The sequence below is a fragment of the Homo sapiens genome, chromosome 1 (assembly GCF_000001405.40).
Source record: "Homo sapiens chromosome 1, GRCh38.p14 Primary Assembly".
Taxonomy (NCBI): domain Eukaryota; kingdom Metazoa; phylum Chordata; class Mammalia; order Primates; family Hominidae; genus Homo; species Homo sapiens.
Window position 1 is genome coordinate 181,633,919 of NC_000001.11, and position 18,236 is coordinate 181,652,154.

General features: G+C 45.0%; 1 protein-coding gene across 14 annotated transcripts in view; it reads left to right on the forward strand.

Annotated features, from left to right (window-relative positions):
- CACNA1E (calcium voltage-gated channel subunit alpha1 E) overlaps nucleotides 1-18,236 on the forward strand; it is a 490,386-nt gene that overhangs the window by 316,220 nt on the left and 155,930 nt on the right. For all 14 annotated transcript variants that reach the window (XM_017002244.2, XM_017002243.2, XM_017002249.2 and 11 more), the window contains one exon: nucleotides 17,420-17,523. In XM_017002244.2, the coding sequence (XP_016857733.1) occupies nucleotides 17,420-17,523 (104 nt within the window). The remainder of the gene's footprint in view (nucleotides 1-17,419; nucleotides 17,524-18,236) is intronic.

An 18,236-nucleotide genomic window follows, 5' to 3' on the forward strand; every position in this document is an offset into this window, starting at 1 on the left:
AAGAAAGAGGTAAGGCCAGGGTTTTCCTATTAGCCTATGATGTCTCACAGAGATAACCTGTCCAGGTAGATACCCAGTTTTGGCTGGAGAAGGCATCACAGACCTTGGGTAATTGATGGCCCACCAGTTTGCACCCCTTTCCATTAATGTGGACCGATCATGCCCTTTGTTGTGGGTCAGTGAGCGTGGTCTTTGAAGTTAGGCAGATGTGGGTTTGAATTCTAGCTCTCATTTTATGACTTACGTGTCAGTTCACACCTCTAAGCTCACTTTGCTCTTCTTTAAAATGGGGGTGATAATGATGACTTCATTGGGTCATTATGAGGATTAAAAGAAATCAGGTATGAGAAATCTCTCAGCACATTCTCCCCTCCCTGGCAAAAGGGTTCAAGGCTGCACAAAGATTATCTAAGGGCAGATACTCTGAACATAGCCATAGTTTATTGATTCAGCGTTTTGTCATTTGCTTCCCTCTCTCAAGAGGCAAGAGAGAAAGCGAGACTGTCTTCCATGCAGTTTGCTCAGAATTCTAACACTAGCCTGTTAGTCTAATCATAACACATTTCTTCTTGGAAACAAACATAGCAACAGCAATTATATCTTACTTTTAATGTCTAATTGGCTGTAAACTTGCTTTTACTAAGTTATTTCCATCGAACATGTAGAGCATTGTGCAGTTTGCTTATCTTGATGTCCTCCTCTTGCAGTCCCCATCTTGGCTTTATTCGGGAGGCCAATTATGTGTATGCTAGCCTTGTGGGTGCCCTAGAAACTCCAGCAAAGGCCAGTGACAGTGTTGTGAGCCTTCTGCCCCTCATTATCCACAGAGGCAGGAGCCTATCAGAGCCTCCAACCTTGAATTTTTGTGTGAGTTCTGCTTCTGTTCTCCTACTCCAGGTATGTCCCCTCACCTGGCTTCTGGAGTAACCCATCCCTGCTCTCTGAACCCCCACTTCGCTGTGCCTTCCTCTGCTTCTAACCCTGCCTCTACGATGGGCTCTCTCTCCTTTTCCTCATAAGCCGATCATTCTTTTCCTGCAAGAAGTCCCACAGGGAAGCCATGCCATCCTAGCCAGACTTGGTTATGGTATGACCTGGCGTTCAGAGGACACACCCCAGCACCTCTACACTGGCTTTCAGCCAGATATGTCTTCACCGCTTGTTGAGACAGAACAGCTTTCTTCTACCTTTATGCTATGAAGCAGCCTTTCCAGGAGCCCTACTGGGGCCAGAGCCCAAGTGGGAAGATCCTCCCTTAAGCTTTCCCCTCTGTTTTTCCAACTCCTGAAACTTACATCCTTCTGCAGGCTTCAGGACTCAGTGTAGGTGTGTCTGATGCCCGGTCATCCTAGAGAAGGGGTTGTGGGAGGGGCTGTACCTGTTGCTATGGCAGCAACCAGTTGAGATCATGAACCCATTTGATTCAGAGGCAATTGCAAGGTGAATCAATCTCCTTGTCACCCACTCCTCTTCTCCTCCCTCTCCATCTCTCCCCACAGCCTTCTGTCATCTTTCCTCCTCCCCACTCAACCTCAAGCTTTCTCCTTCCCCAGTTCTCTCTCTCTCTCTTTTTTTACTCCTAGTTATGATACATCAATGTAGCAGCTAAAGCTACTCATGGTAGACTTCTTATTTATATTATACTTTAGCAAGCATCACCTAAAGGGCTTATTAAAACACAGATTGCTGAGCTTCCTCTAGAGTTCTGATCTGGACTCTGCACCAGGACCCAAGAAAGTGCATTTCTGACAAGGTCCCAAATGATGCTGACACTGCAGGTCCAGGGGCCACACTCTGAGAACAACTGCGCTAGACTATGTTTACCCAGTTTGATTTGGTTGTGGCTGGAATATTCCTCTGCATTTTGATTCTAAAGTATTTGATTAGCTCATTCATCCATTCATAGAACAGATGTTTATTGAGCATCTATTCAGTGTGAAACACTGTACTAGGTACTAGCTACCTAGAGAAACATAAAACCTTGCCCTCTAAGAGTTCACAGATCTGTACAAAAGACACAGTAAATAAGTAATTATTATATGGGGTGATAAGTATTGTAATAACCTGCAAATAATAAGAGATTTAAAAGTATACAACCAACTCCTTGCTCATGGCAAGTAAAATATTTAGATGATAGGAATATAAATAATAATGACCTATTCATTTATTTTTCTTTCTTTGCCAAGAATTGCCTGAAGGGAACTGAGCTTAACCTATTTAAATAATAATATTAACATCTAATGTTTGTGGAGCATTTACTATGTTTCAGATACTGTACCACATACAAGGCATATTGGTTAAGAGTGCTGCGGTCAGACTGCTAGGGATATAGTCCTGACTTGTCATTATCTGTGCAACCTCAGGCAAGTTACTTAACCACTCTGTGCCTCAGTTTCCTCATCAGAGGAAAAGGTTATAGTACTAGTTTCTGCTTCAGCAGATTACTGAGAAGATGAAATGTGATAATGTAGTCAAAACATATATAGTAATTACTCCAAAACACGTTGACTCTTATTACCAACATATTTTGACCTGAGGCTGAATATCACAGAATTGGCCTAGAGAAATTGATATCTTCCAGACTAAATAAATCTCCAGGATTTTGTCAAGAGAATGGATGGGGGCTGGACCTCAATGTGGGGATTAGAGAATTCCAAAACAGGCCTGAAAACTCCTTGGAGCACCAGTCAGAGGAAGCAGCCCTACTTGGCTGTCGGAGAATCAGTGCACCCCAATGGAATATAAGAAAGGCCCTGATGGATGGCCAGGATTTGGACCATGAAACTTGTTTTGGAGGAGGGAGGGGGATTGTCAGGACTGAGGCTTTACAGTCTCTGGTTGACACAGCTGAGGAAGGCAGAACCCTCAGGCTGGGGTGTGAGAGTTTCAAGCTTAGCCTTGACCAGTCTTTCCATCTAGAGAACCAGGGTCACTTTCAGGCCCAAATGCCACGGGGCTGGTGCTGTCAGCATTATCAGAGCGTTTCCTAGCAATGCCCATCAGCAAAGAGGCTGTGTTTTCTGAACCTTCTCCAAAGAGGCTGCCCTCTCCCCTCTTCAATATGCACCCCCATCCCTGAGAGAAGTGATTTCCTCTTGTTATTTGGAAATCAGGGAGAGAGTTTCCCAATCTTTGTCTGGGGCTCTACAGGGACCACAGTCCACATTCATGTTGAGTCAGGTCTCTCTTTTCTGTCTCTTAGACCCAGCTTCACAGCTGAGACTGTAGCTATATGAGAAAGCAGAATCTACCAGTTTTGTTTTAATCCTTTCCTGAGCTCATCAGAGATAAGAGTGATAGAAACTTTCTTCTTACAGAGAGGATTAGAAGTTCTTTGTGGCAAGATATACCTGGGAAGGGGTTATTAAGTGATCATCCCTGATAAAGCCCCTCTAATCATCTACTAGTTTTGCTATTTTAGTGGTGGGAAAAAAAACACAAAACCCTAGGCACTTAACTCACTCTTGGGGAAATCTTTCTAATCCCTTCCTCCCTCCCTCCCTCCTTCCCTCCTTCCCTCCCTCCCTCCCTCCCTCCCTTCCTCCTTTCCTTCCTGCCTTCCTTCCTTCCTTTCTGTGTGTCTTTGTGTCTTTCTGTCTTTCATCCTTTCTGCTTGTCTCAGATTTAATCGGAGCCATACATTCCGCTTATTCACTTATTTGTTTGTTCATTCAACAAACACTTGCTGAGCACCTACTGAGAGCTAAGTTGGGTTCTGGGCCAGAAACAGACAAAGCAAACCTGCTTCTTGTTCTTGAGGGTGTCAAATATTGTAGAAGTGAACAACATACCAGCCCACAATGATTATGTTGCAGTTAAGTGGTATGGTGGAATTCAGTGTAGGGCATAAGGGAGTGACTGACTCTGGGAAGGTTTTTTAGTGAAGGTAACATTCAGTCAGGGATTGAGTGGAGGCTTTTCAGGTGGAAAAGGTAGGAAAGGCATTATAGGCAGTGGGGACAACATGAGCAATAGTGTAGACATAGGAAAGAATGTGGCATAGAATTGCAAGAAGCTGGATGTGGCTGTGTGACTTGGTATACAGGTAGGCAGATGCTGTGAGAGACAGATGAGCTAGAGAGGGTAGGTTGGGTCAGTCATGGTAGGGGATTGGCATGGGCAAATTCCCATTTCAAGGTATTAAGCAGGGGAGAGACAGGGCAAGATGTGTTGGTTAGAAATGACAACTCTTCCCTGCTCTGAAGAATGAAACCAGCTGTGCCTGGGAATCACTTGCCCCACTTTACAAGATCTCCCTGGCAACAGAATGGCTGTTGTACAACTAGCCAGGGAATTTGCTGTGACAGTCTTCCAACCTTATCTGACATCCAGAGCAGGGAAGGAATTGCCAAGTTAGGGTATAGATATCAAAGGAATTGAAGCAACACAACATTGGAATAGTATTACAATATGAAATTAGAAACTATTTTCTCTGCTGGCATTGTTGTAAATACCAGCATCCATCACTCCCTTCTCAAATATATTGTAAGTTAAAACATTGCTATTTTTATCTCTAACCCCCTTGCCCTCTAACCCAGGCAATACAATATAGCTTCTTGAGGAGAGGCCCAAGCTGGGTGTGGATTCCGAATCTTCACCCAGCTTCACATGCTTATTGTGGGAGCTTGGGCACATCCCCTGTGCCTTCTGAGCCTGGGTTGTGTTGTTATTGTTGCTTGTTGGTTTGTGATATGGTTTGGCTGTGTCCCCGCCCAAAATCTCATCTTGAGTTGTAATCCCTATAATCCTCACAATCTCCATGTGTCAAGGGAGAGACCACGTAGAGGTGATTGACTCATGGGGGCAGTTTCCCCCATGCTGTTCTCATGATAGTGAGTGAATTCTCACAAGATCTGGTGGTTTTATAAGTGTTTGGTAGTTCCTCCTGCATTCATTCTCCATCCTCCCTCCTTGTGAAGAAGGTGCCTTGCTTCCCCTTCTACCATGATTGTAAGTTTCCTGAGGCTTCCCCAGCCATGCTGAACTGTGAGTCAGTTAAACCTCTTTCCTTATAAATTGCCTAGCCTTGGGCAGTTCTTTATAGCAGTGTGAAAACAAACCAATACAGTTTGTTACATGTACAATTGCAATAGCACCTCTCTTGCATGTGGTTGTGAAGATTAATGTATGCTATGCACCTGGTCCAATGTCCAGCTTAGAGTAGAGTAGATGCCTTTTTTTTTTTTTGAGATGGAGTCTCGCTATGTCTCCCAGGCTGGAGTGCATTGGCATGATCTTGGCTCACTGCAAGCTCCGCTGACCAGGTTCACGCCATTCTCCTGCGTCAGCCTCCCAAGTAGCTGGGACTACAGGTGCCTGCCACCATGCCCGGCTAATTTTTTCGTATTTTCAGTAGAGATGGGGTTTCACCGTGTTAGCCAGGATGGTCTCGATCTCCTGACCTTGTGATCCACCCACCTTGGCCTACCAAAGTGCTGGGATTACAGGTGTGAGCCACCACGCCCAGCCGAGTAGATGCTTAACAAGTGGAAACCATTATTATTTTTCTCCCCTTCGATACATGGAGCCTTAGGGTCTAAGTGACAGGAAAATGTTCAGATAAAGATGTTTTAATTATGTCTTCTTAGTACTTCCAGAAAGAGGTCTGCATGGGTTTAGGTCAGCTCTGCCTTCCGACAGCTTACGTGCATTCTTGTGTTGCTCTCCCATCTTCACTGCTCTTCCTACATTCCACCCTAATGAACGGCAGAGAGAGCTATGCAAAGTGGTCAAAGTAAAAAGGGATTCTTTCCGATGTTTCCCAGATTGGAGAAACAATGAACATGATTACTTTATTATCTCTGTTTTGTTTTAATCTTGTTGTGCCCCAAACTAATGGGGATGCTCATTTGGAATGAGCTTTGTGTATCTTTGGGCAAAGAGGAAAACCAAGATGAATTTCTAGGAGGGCAGCAGGAGAGTGAATAAGAGAGTACAAATCATCACAAATCAAGAGATGAGTAAAGAGAAGGGGGTTGGGAATGGCAGAATTGGAACCTGAGAGTTAGAGTCCATGAGAGAGAGGAGAAGCAAAATGAGAAATATGGAGTCTGAGTGGGAAGGAACCCCACATCTGTCGTCTGATACAGGCACCTACTCAAGGGAGGAATTCGGCATCAGTGTCCCTCACAGATGGTTGCCTGACACAGTGATTTCTATAAATAACAATTATATGGCACTACGGGAAGTGGATGAGGCTACTTACAAATGGAGCTGACCAGCCTGGGGACTGACTGTCCCCAAGGTCTGTCAAAGAGGTGATGGGAAGATATTTTGTGCACATCTGTAGCTCAGTGTGCTATGAGAAACTGACCTCATAGGGCCATCTTGGAGTGACTCACCCATGTACCTTCAGGCCTTCAGGTGATTAATAGGCATGTAGGACTGACGTTTCATTATCACTGCATCAACGCTGATGTAGACTTATTGAGCATGTCTTCCATTGATGCTGTCTTGGGTTCTGGAGATACAAAGACTTACAAGCCATGGTTCCTTGCTTTCAACCTGTTTTTGTTAAGGAATAGGAGTGTTTCCTGTGGCCACAGAATAAACGAAACTAACTGTCCTGGGGCTTCTTCAGGAAACCAGTGGGGCTAACCAGACTTACATAGTGTTTGATACACAATCATTAATTAAAACAGAGATGTTCAATGATAAATTAATTCGCCTTCTGCTCAGAATTCATTGAGGAGGGAAGAATGGAAGCCAAGAAAAATGATTATCTGAAGCTTTTTTCTTGAGCGTCTGCCCTTGTAGGCTGTGCTGAATATTTGAGTGAGCTAAGTGTACTTGCTGTATGTCAACAGAGATGACATTTTACAGGTGATATATTTATTTCCAGAGAAGGAAACTTATATAGGCTTGTGAAGCAGAAGAATGCCAGCAGGTTTCTAATCTCCTATTAGTAAACAACATTATCGAGAATCTCCTGTTTGTGGAGTAATATTCTAGGCATTTGTAGAGTGAACACAGAAATAAAGATGCAGTTCTGTCTTTAAGAAACATTCAGCCCTAATGGGAATGGAGGACCAATATGTAAAAGAGACAGAACACATATAAAGAAGGTCCATAAATAAGTGCAAATAAATGCCTGAGTGCAGCACTTAATGTTCTGTTTTCTATTATAGGTATTTGTACTCACGACTTAGCCTTCTTATGGATACCAAAGCCCTTGAGAACTGTTTTCCTTTCTCATTCATCTTGTGCAGAGTACACACTCAAAAGTGTTGAATGAATATGTATGCTACTGTGAGGTGTGCCTAATTGCTGGGGGAATTCTGGAGTGAAGTAGAATGACATGTTTAGGGGAAACCTTATAGCGGCTTAGCAGTGTTTTCAAGTATGAGAGGACTTGTAATTGGTGGAGTAAGGGGACAGGAGGGAGAAGAAAGAAGGAAGAGTTCACGGGGACTGAGCAAATCCAAACAATTTATGCCACCATTCAGGGTCCTCCATGATCTGATCCTTCAGGTCTTACCTTGCCTTGCTTGCTGCCACCAAAGGCAGCCCACTGTGGCCTTAGCATTCCCACCTCTTTCTCTCTCCTTGGAATGTCTTCCTCTGTTGATTGGCCATCTGAATCCACCTTCCACTTCATGTCTGGGTGAAAGTAGAGTCTCAGGAAGCCTTACATGACATCTCTATCCTTGCTCCTATCTTCATTAAATGGCAGTGTTTGCAGGTCTGATTTCAGTGGTCTTAACCTTCAGAGGAAACGAGAGACAATCATGGTCTTCAACCTCGGGTAGCTTTCAAATGAGATCATGAGGCAACACTAATTTTTTGTTTTTTTTTTTTTTTTTTTTTTTTTTTTGAGACAGAGTCTCGCTCTGTCACCCAGGCTGGAGTGTAGTGGTGTGATCTCGGCTTACTGCAACCTCCGTCTCCTGGGTTCAAGCGATTCTTCTGCCTCAGCCTCCTGAGTAGCTGGGACTACAGGCATGCGTCACCACACCCAGCTAATTTTTGTATTTTTAGTAGAGACGGGGTTTCACCATCTTGGCCAGGCTGGTCTTGAACTCCTGACCTTGTGATCCGCTTGCCTCTGCTTCCCAAAGTGCTGGGATTACAGGCGTGAGCCACCGCGCCTGGCCTGGGGCAACACTAATTATATACAAAATAATAAGAGGGAGCAGGGCTGTATATAATTAGGTGCTAAACAGAGTAGACAGAACAGAAGAACTGTGCAGAGTTGATTGGAGGTCAGAAGTCCTGCATTCTGGTTCTACTTCCGTACCCAATAAGTGGAGTACCTTTTGGCAGTCACTTGGCTTTTGAACCTTGGTTCTTCTGTAAAATGAGGGGTTTGTGCAAGATGCTGTGATTCCTTCCAGCTCTAGAATCTGCAAGATGATAAAGGTTAGAGTACTCATATTAGACTGAGTGGGAAATAGTGATTTGTTAGTAAGAGGGGAGAGGGGAACATCAGGAAAAGCAATAAATGATGGCGACCAGAAGGACTGATTCCTGACAACCATAGGACAAAGTGGAGAATCAGAGAGGGACTGGTTGAAGAGCGGTTACCTTGGTATTATCCAGCATGTTCTTTCTGGAATAGGATGGGCACTGCACAAAACGTTCACAATAGAGGATATATGAAGCCTCCTGTACTCTTTTGCGTTTCTGATACTCACCTCCCCTCTTGTTTTCAGAGCCCTTTCTGGTGCTTGCCACTCTTTAAAGAATACAAATCTCTCATCAGCAAGCCCTGTAGAAGGGGCAAAGGGGTGATGCACTTTAGCTCATCACCACTGGGCACGTTCTCTTTAATCCTCTCTTAAATTCACCTGCTTTGGCTGATCTGCATACAGTGGGAGTGGTGTCAGATCAACACACTGGCCTTTTCCCAAAGCAAAGCGGGATCCCAGCCTGGATGGCCCAGCACAGGGTCAGCTGCCTCCATCCTGGCCCCCCAGAGCATCTGCCTCCCCAGCACCCTGGGCTGCAGTTGCAGAGGGCCTTCTTTTTAATGTTTTTCTAATAATCATTTTTTTCAAACCCTAAAACAACACTTTGTTATTGCATGATAGTTGCAAAAATATAAAAATAATTTTTAAGAATAACTCATTTCTACCCCCTCACTCCCCCCACAGGTTATCATCACTATTATTAATAACATTTTTCACTGTTTTGACTAAAAAAGGTTTTCTTTTAAAATTCACCCATGACCCAGAACTATTTAAATAAACTAATTTTATTTTGGAGAAAGACCCTAAAACTTTTATTATAGAGATTTTCAGTCATGCACAAAAGTAGAGAGAATAAAATATTAAACCCTATGTAACCCACATCAGCCCCAGCAGTTACAAGAAGACCTTAAAGTCTTTAGAGGATCCGGCATCTCCCTGTTGGGCTTCTGTGTCAGAGTTCAGAAAGGGAGAGGGGAGGGACAGGATAAATATCACATGACATCAATGTTGGAATTACTAGGATTTAAGCAGAGGGATTTTAAGCACAGCAGGACCCTGAGCCCTGCCCATATTGGAGGTGCCCACTTTTGCAGACCCTGCCACGGCAGCCTTCGTAGTCCTATGTGGCACCGCTCTTTGCTCTTGAATTGTCCTCCCAAGAGCGTGGATGGGTTTTCACTGACACACGGGTACCTGCCTGCCCAGTGCCAGTGGTGAGGACTGCCCACATCTGGGGTGGGCCATGCCAGCCCTTGCAGCTGACCGGCCAGAGCTCCTGACCCTGGTCTCGGTAGCATCGTGTGGCTGCTTGTAGGTTGGGTGGAGGAGTGTTTCTTTCTGTGCTCCTCCTCTTTGCCAAACACTCTGCTGCATTTTCCCACTGGCAAAAGAAGGGGAAGAATAGGTGGTGAAATGTGGTTCTGGACTGAGGCACTGCTTCATCCTCAGTGACAATCACTGACATTCTTGGCAGCGGGGAGATGGTGGCTGCATCAAGTCCAGAGGATTCTGAATGACCAGAATGTGTGGGAAGCCTTGCTTACTCATAACGGCCCCTGGCTAAGCCAGATGCTGCCTCCAGAGATTGTTTGTGTGGGGAGACTTAGTATGTTTATTAAATATACTCAGGGCTCCAAGTTACAGTGAAACGCCCTGCTCCTGGGCCTGACAGGCTCAGCCTCCTGGCTGGGTGGCAGCAGGTGCCTATGTTTCACTTGGAGCTCTAGGTCCTCATTCTTTCCCCTGCTCCCCAACCTTTGCCTCTTGCCTGGGGGCTGAGAAGACAGCTTTCATTTTTCTGGCTGTAAGATCCTAGTGGTGACTGTCCTATCTGTCTTTTGTTCTGCCCTAGAAGGTAGTAATAGTATGGGTAGGATTGCTTTTAAGAGTTCTGGAACTAAAGCAGACATGAAGAGTCAAGGGTTTGCAAGAAGTTGACCCATTTTGGTTCTAGATTGTGGCCCCAGATCTGCCGATAAGTTGCTTGGATCCTCAGGGAAGTCGCTTTGCTTCCTTGGGGCTCAGTTTCCTCTCCTATGGAATGATGAGTTGGATGACTTGTTCTCATCATCCTCTTCCAAGAGTATGACTGGATTTCCTAGTCTGCAGGAAACCCGTTATAGGCATTTAATTGCCCAGTGATGTGTGGGGTATGCTGTACATTGTATCCTTTTCCTAAAATGTGGGTGTGGTCAGAGGAATCATACCTTGGCTTTGAGGTAGAAACACCATCCAACTGGTGTGACTCAGGGGAGGGGTGTTGCCAGCTTTGTATGGTGGGTCAAAACCCTGATAGAATGCCTTAAATCAAATTCCCTAGAAACTGATTGTGAAACTGAGCTTCTTGTGGCAGTGTTTTAATGAGGGACTGCTCTTAGGAGTTACCTAAAGGTATGTGAGGGAAGCAGGATAGGTCAAGGGAAAAACTAGGCAAAGCCTCAGCCTGGTTCCATGGGCAGCCCAAAGTGTGAATTCCACCACAGCAATTGTCTTACCCAGTGGCAAAAGGGCCGGGCCATTGATAACTCCTACATTAGGTAGTTATCTGTTACAGCCCCCCATCATCACCAGCAGGGGCAGGAATAACATTCCAGGTGAAGCTGGTCTGTCAGGCAAGGGCAAGCATCTGAAAAGCGTACAGGAGCAAGGCAGGTGTGAGTTATTAGCAGCCAACAGTTACATAGCAGCTGGGGGATGAGACATGGGCCAGAATGCCACAGAGCCTGCCACGTCCTTACTGGTGACAGCCGCGCAGGGAGGAAGGCAGGAGTAGGGTGGGAGAGGGCTGTCCTGGGTGGCTGATTCCTGTGGATGGCTCAGCACATGCAGGAAAGTGTTCAGATGGGATTTCCAATTAGGTCAATCTAAGTGATTGTTCTAAAAGTTGGGATGATGTTACATTTGGGGTGGGGGATAGTGTGCCTAGGAAGGGACGTGAGGAAGACCTTAAGGTTATCTAGAGGCTGGTTGTCCAGTGATATATATTTTGACAAAATCCGGGGTACCTTTATGACTTGCATTTCAGCATAACATCCACACAGAGCTCCAGGGCGCTGCTACTGCAAGGTAGTAGCAGTTCATTCTGAGAGGGCGTTCCCCACCCTCTTTTTTCTTCTTATAGGTCCCCCACTTCTTGGCATGTCTTCATCTTAATCTTTTTCTCCATCTTTCTTCTACCTCCATAATTAATCTTTTCACTGCCTTTCTGGCTTCTGCTGTCTCAGCGAAGGTAGTTTCTTAGACTCCCGTGTTATTGTTTTCCCTGAAAACTTCAGCACATCCTTTTCTGACTTCCCGGACCCATGCAGGCCCACCTGCCCCAGTTCCCTGTGCTCCCTTCATAGCACTGACCACACTCCAGAGTTAAAGTTACATTTGTGTGCTCACTTGCTTCATGGGTGTTTCCCCCATTAGATCACAAGTTTCAAAGAGCTGGGACTGAGACTGTCTTGCTCATCATCCTTAACACACAGAAAATTATCTGTCACATAGTAGGTGGCCCATGAATGTGTTGAATAAAAAATATGGCATTTCAGCTCCAAGACATGGAATCCAAGTCCCTCGGGGTGGGACAGGAGCTGTCATACTTGGTGCTGGAGGAAATGGGAGCCTAGGGGAGGGTGTGCTGGCCTGTGAGGTGCAGGAGGCCAGGTATGTGTCTGTGAGGGAAGGTGTGAAGTAGTTGAATCAGTCCCTGGCCTCTTTCCTTCCCCACTCACTGCTCTGTGAATTTTCCTTTCCCTAGGAGTGGTCAGCAGAGGCTTTGGACAGATGCTTCTGCAGAGATGAATGGCCTGGCTTTTTTGCTAGCCTATGTTGGCTGCTCCAACCCTCTCCTGGCCTGAGCCGAAGATCTCTCCTCGAGATGGAGCCTTGAGTCCAGCAGTTCTTAATCAAAAGTAATCTTGTCCCCCAGAACATTTGGCAATTTTTGATTGTTGCATCTGGAGAAGTACTAGTGGCCTCTAATGGGTAGAGGCCAGGAATGCTGCTAAGGCACACACAGGAGAGCCCCCACCAAACAGAACTGTCTCTCCACAGGTGCTGGCAGTGCTGCAGTGGAGGAAGCCCTGCCTAGGCCAGCCCTGATCTAACCAGCAGGTGCTGCTGACAGCCTCTGGAGCAGGTGTTCCCCAGAGACCCTTTGCTTCTGAAAGGACCATGGAATCAGCATCTGCCTTACTCCCAGCCCCAACACACTCAGCCTCCCCACTCAGTCATAGGCAATTCAGCCTCCCAGGTTACAGCTGCTCTGTGAAGAGGGTGCACAGACAGGGAGAATGTTTTCCATGGAGCCCTGGGGAACCCTGTTAGAGACCTGTCTCTGGGGCTGGGGGCTGGGCCCTGCCTGCATAGCTTCAGCTCAGGGGACCCATGGGGCCCCTTTCCTCCTGCTTGCTCTATCCCCATCTTTCTCTCCAATCCTCCTCCCACCCCACCTTGCAGCATCTCCCCCAGTCCCCTGGAGATTAATGTGATAATTACCATGTGTGCCTGTTTACGCAGGGAGTGGGTGAGCTCACCACCCCCATCAGTCAGGTTCCCAAAGGAACACATTCCCACAATGTCAGGACTGGTACCCGCTGAGCACTCCTGTGCAGGTGGGCTGCCGCCCCCGAACTGCTTTCTCTGTCATCACCCTCGTCGTGCACACGTGTGCATGTGTGTGTCACTCAGGGGATCGGCAGGTGAGGAAGATGGAGAGCAGCCAGTGTGCCAGTCTAGGGAAGGGCTGGGTGGGGAGGGTGTTGGGAGATGGGAGGAGCATCAGTGCTCCATGTAAGAGGACACTGACCAAAGAGAAGCACTCTCCTATGATGCCTGACTGATAGTAGGTGTTGCATGAGTGGTGTGGGATGGAGGGGCTGGCGTCTTCTGGGCAGCATTCTTTGCAGGGAGGGCCCTGGTTTCCCTTAGCTGCTCCACAGTAGAGGTCTCGGCTGTGAAGGTTCTCCTGGGGCCAGAATCTTGATTGGAGTACTTAGCATGGCTGTCCCGTGTTCCTGAAGGAAGAGTCTCTGGGGAAAATAGAGTGCAAGTCTTACATGAAAGGAGCTTGCGAGAACTGCCACTCTGTCACAGAAGTTGGGGGGGATGCTGTAGAGAGAGAATGAGTGATTCTCCCTCTCACAGGCAACCCTCCTCTCTTGCACCTCCTGCTGAGACAGACACGTGCACACCACGAGAGAGAAAACAGTCACAACTCTGTGGTTGAACTGGCAGCTTCACCCCGACTTCCACTTCACGTGCTTTCTGGGTACTTGCTGCCTTGAGTTGTCGGTTGCTGCTGCTTTTTTAATCTCAAAGGACGCTTGAGTCATTGTCTCTCCTACACTGGACAATTTTGTTTTAATAATGATGAATCAGAAGGAGATTGAAGCCCCAACTGGCATCAGAAAGAACCATGCCATTTTGAAAAAGGGAAGCATGCATTCCTTTGCTAGCCTGCTTCCTGCCGAGGTGTGTCCCTTTGTCCTACCGGGTGTGTCACTGACCCGTGGACAAACATGCAAGGGGAGTGGAAGCCAGTTGGCCAGGAAGAATGAAACAGGAGGGAGAGGAGCAAGGTGTGGAGAAGGGTGGGGCAAGCCTATTAAAAGGTGTGTGAATAACCTACAGGAGCTGTCAAGCTGCTTTCTCCAGAAGAACCTTTTAAGCTGTCAGTCATCTTCAAGAACCCCCAGGGCCTTGCTGGTGCTGGTGTCTTCCCAGCTATGCTTTTCTCCTTCTAGTTCCCATCCTCCTCTTTTTTCATCCAGCAGGCCCCACTGTGGTGGATAATGTTTGCGGCAATTCAGAGAAATCTCCACAGATTGAGAGGGGGCTATGAGAATGAATTGTATCAGTGTATTTTTAACAGGAGAATCTTCATATTAGAATTGTGGACGTTTTTTGATTAGTCGACCATCTATGCATGCCAAACCCTTTGTTAGGTGCCAGATACAGAAATGAGCAGACAGTTAAGGTTTCTGCCTGAATATAGGTTGAAGCAACACCAAAACATACTCACAAAATGCTGAATCAAAAGACACTGCTCGTCATTGGTTTTTTATAGAATTGAGAAACACATTCCAGATTCTGACCCACTGTAGTTCCTACATTTCAAAGGCTATGTTCTTCGATGTGTTACTAGATTTTCTCTGAAAATGAGGGTTTCACTATGATCAAAAGTGTTTATGAAATGGTGGAATAAACAAGGTAAATAATGTTCTTTTTTTGTGGATCTTCTCACGGGCTCAGAAGAAAATATAATCTGCTGTTTCCCAAATTTCTTTGGTTACAGAAGCCCCTTTTCCACAAAATACACTAACTTCTTACAGATCTCTAGCAATGAGAACAATGTAATTTTGGACATCCTCATTACAGCATCCCTGGCAAGTAGTCACCCAAGTGAAATTGCTCTGAGCCACCCTCAAACTGTAGCTCAATTATTTAAGAACAAAATTATCTTAAAAGTCACAATTTCATCATTGCTATTGCTGATACCTGCTAATGTTTGTTGGCAACAAAGTCCTATCTGGGTGCTGGGTGTAGACTCAGTTTTTGTTGCCAAGGAATGTTGGGGTGCTGGGGGGTTTGGCCACTGGCTAAGCCATAGAGTGAATAAACCCTGTTAATCTGGAGCTTTACTGGTGAACCATCAGAGCTAGCCAGCCTTACAGAAGGACTGATTTGTAATCACAAATAAACACAGAGCTAGCTATACAAATATCATTGCAATTCACTTTTCAGCTCATAGGGAAGGTCCATGTCTTAACGATCTCAGAGAAAACGGCTTCCTACCTCCCTTAAAACCCTCAACAACTCTTGGCATCTAGTTCCTTTGGATCTTTCTACTAATATTCAGGAACAGTTTTCTCTGAGGTCTGGCCCACATCTTCCCTGATTGTATTTAACTGACCAGACCTGATTGAACCAAAGAGCTCCATCTTACACACTGAAATTGGCAGGTCCCTGCATCTGTCCCTTCCCATTCAGAAAGTGTTTTCTTGTTTACTTTTAACTTTTATTCTGCTTCAATTGCAATTATCTCTCTCTGAATAGTGTAGGGGCAAAAAAAAAAAGACACAAGTGTGGTGAAAGGAGATTGCCTTAGAAGCTGTTTTAGTGGGGTGATTCCTCAAATACCCCAAAACAGAACTAGCATTCAACCCAGCAATCCCATTACTGGGTTTGCTTACAACCCAAAGGAATATAAATCATTCGGTTATAAAAACACATGCATGCATATGCTCATTGCAGCACTATTCATGATAGCAAAGACATGGAATCAACCTAAATGCCCATCAATGACAGAATGGTTAAAGAATATGCAATACATATACACCATGGAATACTATGTAGCCTTAAAAAAAATGAGAACATGTTCTTTGCAGGAACATGGATGGAGCTGGAGGCCATTATCCTCAGCAAACCAACACAGGAACAGACGACCAAATACTGCATGTTCTCACTTATAGGTGGGGGATAAATGATGAGAACACATGGACATATAGAGAGGAACAACACACTGGAGTCTTTTGGAGGGTGAAGGGTGGGGGAAGGAAGAGGACCAAGAAAAAAGCAGCTATTGGGTACTAGGCTTAATACCTGGGTGATGAAATAATCTGTACAACAAACCCCTCTGACATGAATTTACCTATATAACAAACCTGCACATGTACCCTTGAACTTAATATAAAAGTTAAGCTGTTGTTAATGGATGAATCAACTATACAGTGATAGCTTCCATGACTGATAAGAGGCTATATTCTGTGGACTGGAATATTTGAATGGGAGACAGAAATGAGATAATTTGGAAGAAAACAAGAGAATGTCACAGAAGTCCACAGGAAGCATGGGGACAATGAATCAAAATATGTTTTCAGAATTTAGTAGTGAGAGGGGGAAAAGGTAAATTGGAGGGACAAGAAATACTTTGCTATAGAAATTCTGAGTTCTGGTCTTAATTTTACTAATTTAGCTTGTGAGTTTTAGGCATGGCATTTGACTTTGGCCTTGTTTTTCCAGTGAAGTAGAGATAAAATATCTGTTGTAAGTTTCAAATGGGTCTTAGAGTTTGTGTGTGAGAGAGTGGAGTGGGGGTCGAAGGGATTTCAAAGCCCTGCATATGTGAAATGCAATTCAGAAAGACTATTTGGAAAGACTTCGAGGTGCTGTCAGGGGAGGAAGAGTCAAAGGGAAGACTGAGAACCCTTAGTTGAGTGGTACAGCTTTTAGAGAGACTCCCAAGCTCTATTTCAAGGTTCTAATAAGATATCCTGCTAAGAATTGCTTCTTTGTTTAAGTCATGAGATATAATTCTTCCTCAATCCCTGACCATTCAAGGGTCTTGCATCTGATTCATGATTCGAGAATCCGGAATATGGATTTGCAGGCATTTTTTAATTCACTGAGTGTTAACATTAGAGTGCAAGTGATCACTCTTCAAATCTAGATTTATTCCTTGTTCTGGCCAGAGCCTTGCTGGGGCCAAGCCTGGGCCAGCTCTGTGCTATTGTACTATGATGGAAGAAAGCAAGCTGAGCGTGGGTCAAGGGCTGAGCAAGACGCAGAGGACCCTAAAATGTCTTCCAAATAACCCTGTCAAGGCCTTTGCTAGCATCCATGGAATAGATTGGGCACAGCCTGCCTTTGTCTTTTTGAGAATTTGCCCAATTTTGTGTGCAGAGGCTTAGAACCCACATTACCAAATGCTATAAAACCAGTGGTTGTTTGCGTGACCTTGGAAAAGTATCTGACCTTTCTGTATTGTCTTCTCATGTGCTAAGCAAGAGTGTGAGAATATTCCAACTCAGTATATTATGGTGAGGCTGATGCTGTGTTCTTCATTACGTACATGGGAGATTTTGAGCTAACTCACGGTAATACCAAATTGGGAATGGAGTAAGGCAATATTTAACTGTATTGCATTGTGGTTTTTACATCACCCTCTGTGCAGCTGCAAGAATGTAAGCTTTACTTATGGAAGATGGCTTTAAGTATTAAGGAACCATTTTTCTTTCTTTCAGACCAATGATGCCTTAGGAGCCACCTGGAATTGGCTGTACTTCATCCCCCTCATCATCATTGGATCCTTCTTTGTTCTCAACCTAGTCCTGGGAGTGCTTTCCGGGTGAGCCAGATGTTTCTCTCTTCTTAACTCATTTGCTGACTGCTAACTGTAAACTAATGCCTCCTGACTCATGGCAGATTCATTCATTTAACCTTCATTTAGAAGACACTTACCTAGCAGTTCCTCTGTGCCAAATGCTTTCTAGATGCTGGGAATGCAGTAGTGAACCATCATTCTAATAATCTTGATTATTCTCAGGAATTAAAAAGTCTTGATGTCAGGCACAACACTGAACACAGTATGTAGTGAGAGTTCATTTATTCATCCATGCTTTCATTCAGTAACTCAGCAGTCAGAGACCTATGTCAAACACGGTGCTGGTTGTTAGGGAAATAAAATTGAACTAGACACAGGCTGTGCCTCAAAAGTTTCTTACTCTGTAGTGTTTTGGGGATCAAGTCTCATATTTGTGGCTTGAATTAGTTTATACAAATCTGCAACTATTTGGGGTCCAATACCATGGTAAGCATCGCCAGGAGCACACAAAGTATAAGGTGTGGTTCCTCTCCTTAGGAAACATGTTTTGCCAAGAAGATGATACACATGAAACAGAGAATAGGAGTTCTTTTACTGACTTATACAAGGTATAATCATTTGTTTTGGGGAAAGGACAAATCTATGTAATCTGAAGTCATCAGGGATAGTTTCATCAAGGATTGAGATTTTGCTTGGATTATGAAATATGTAGTAGGATTACATAGACTATATGGGAG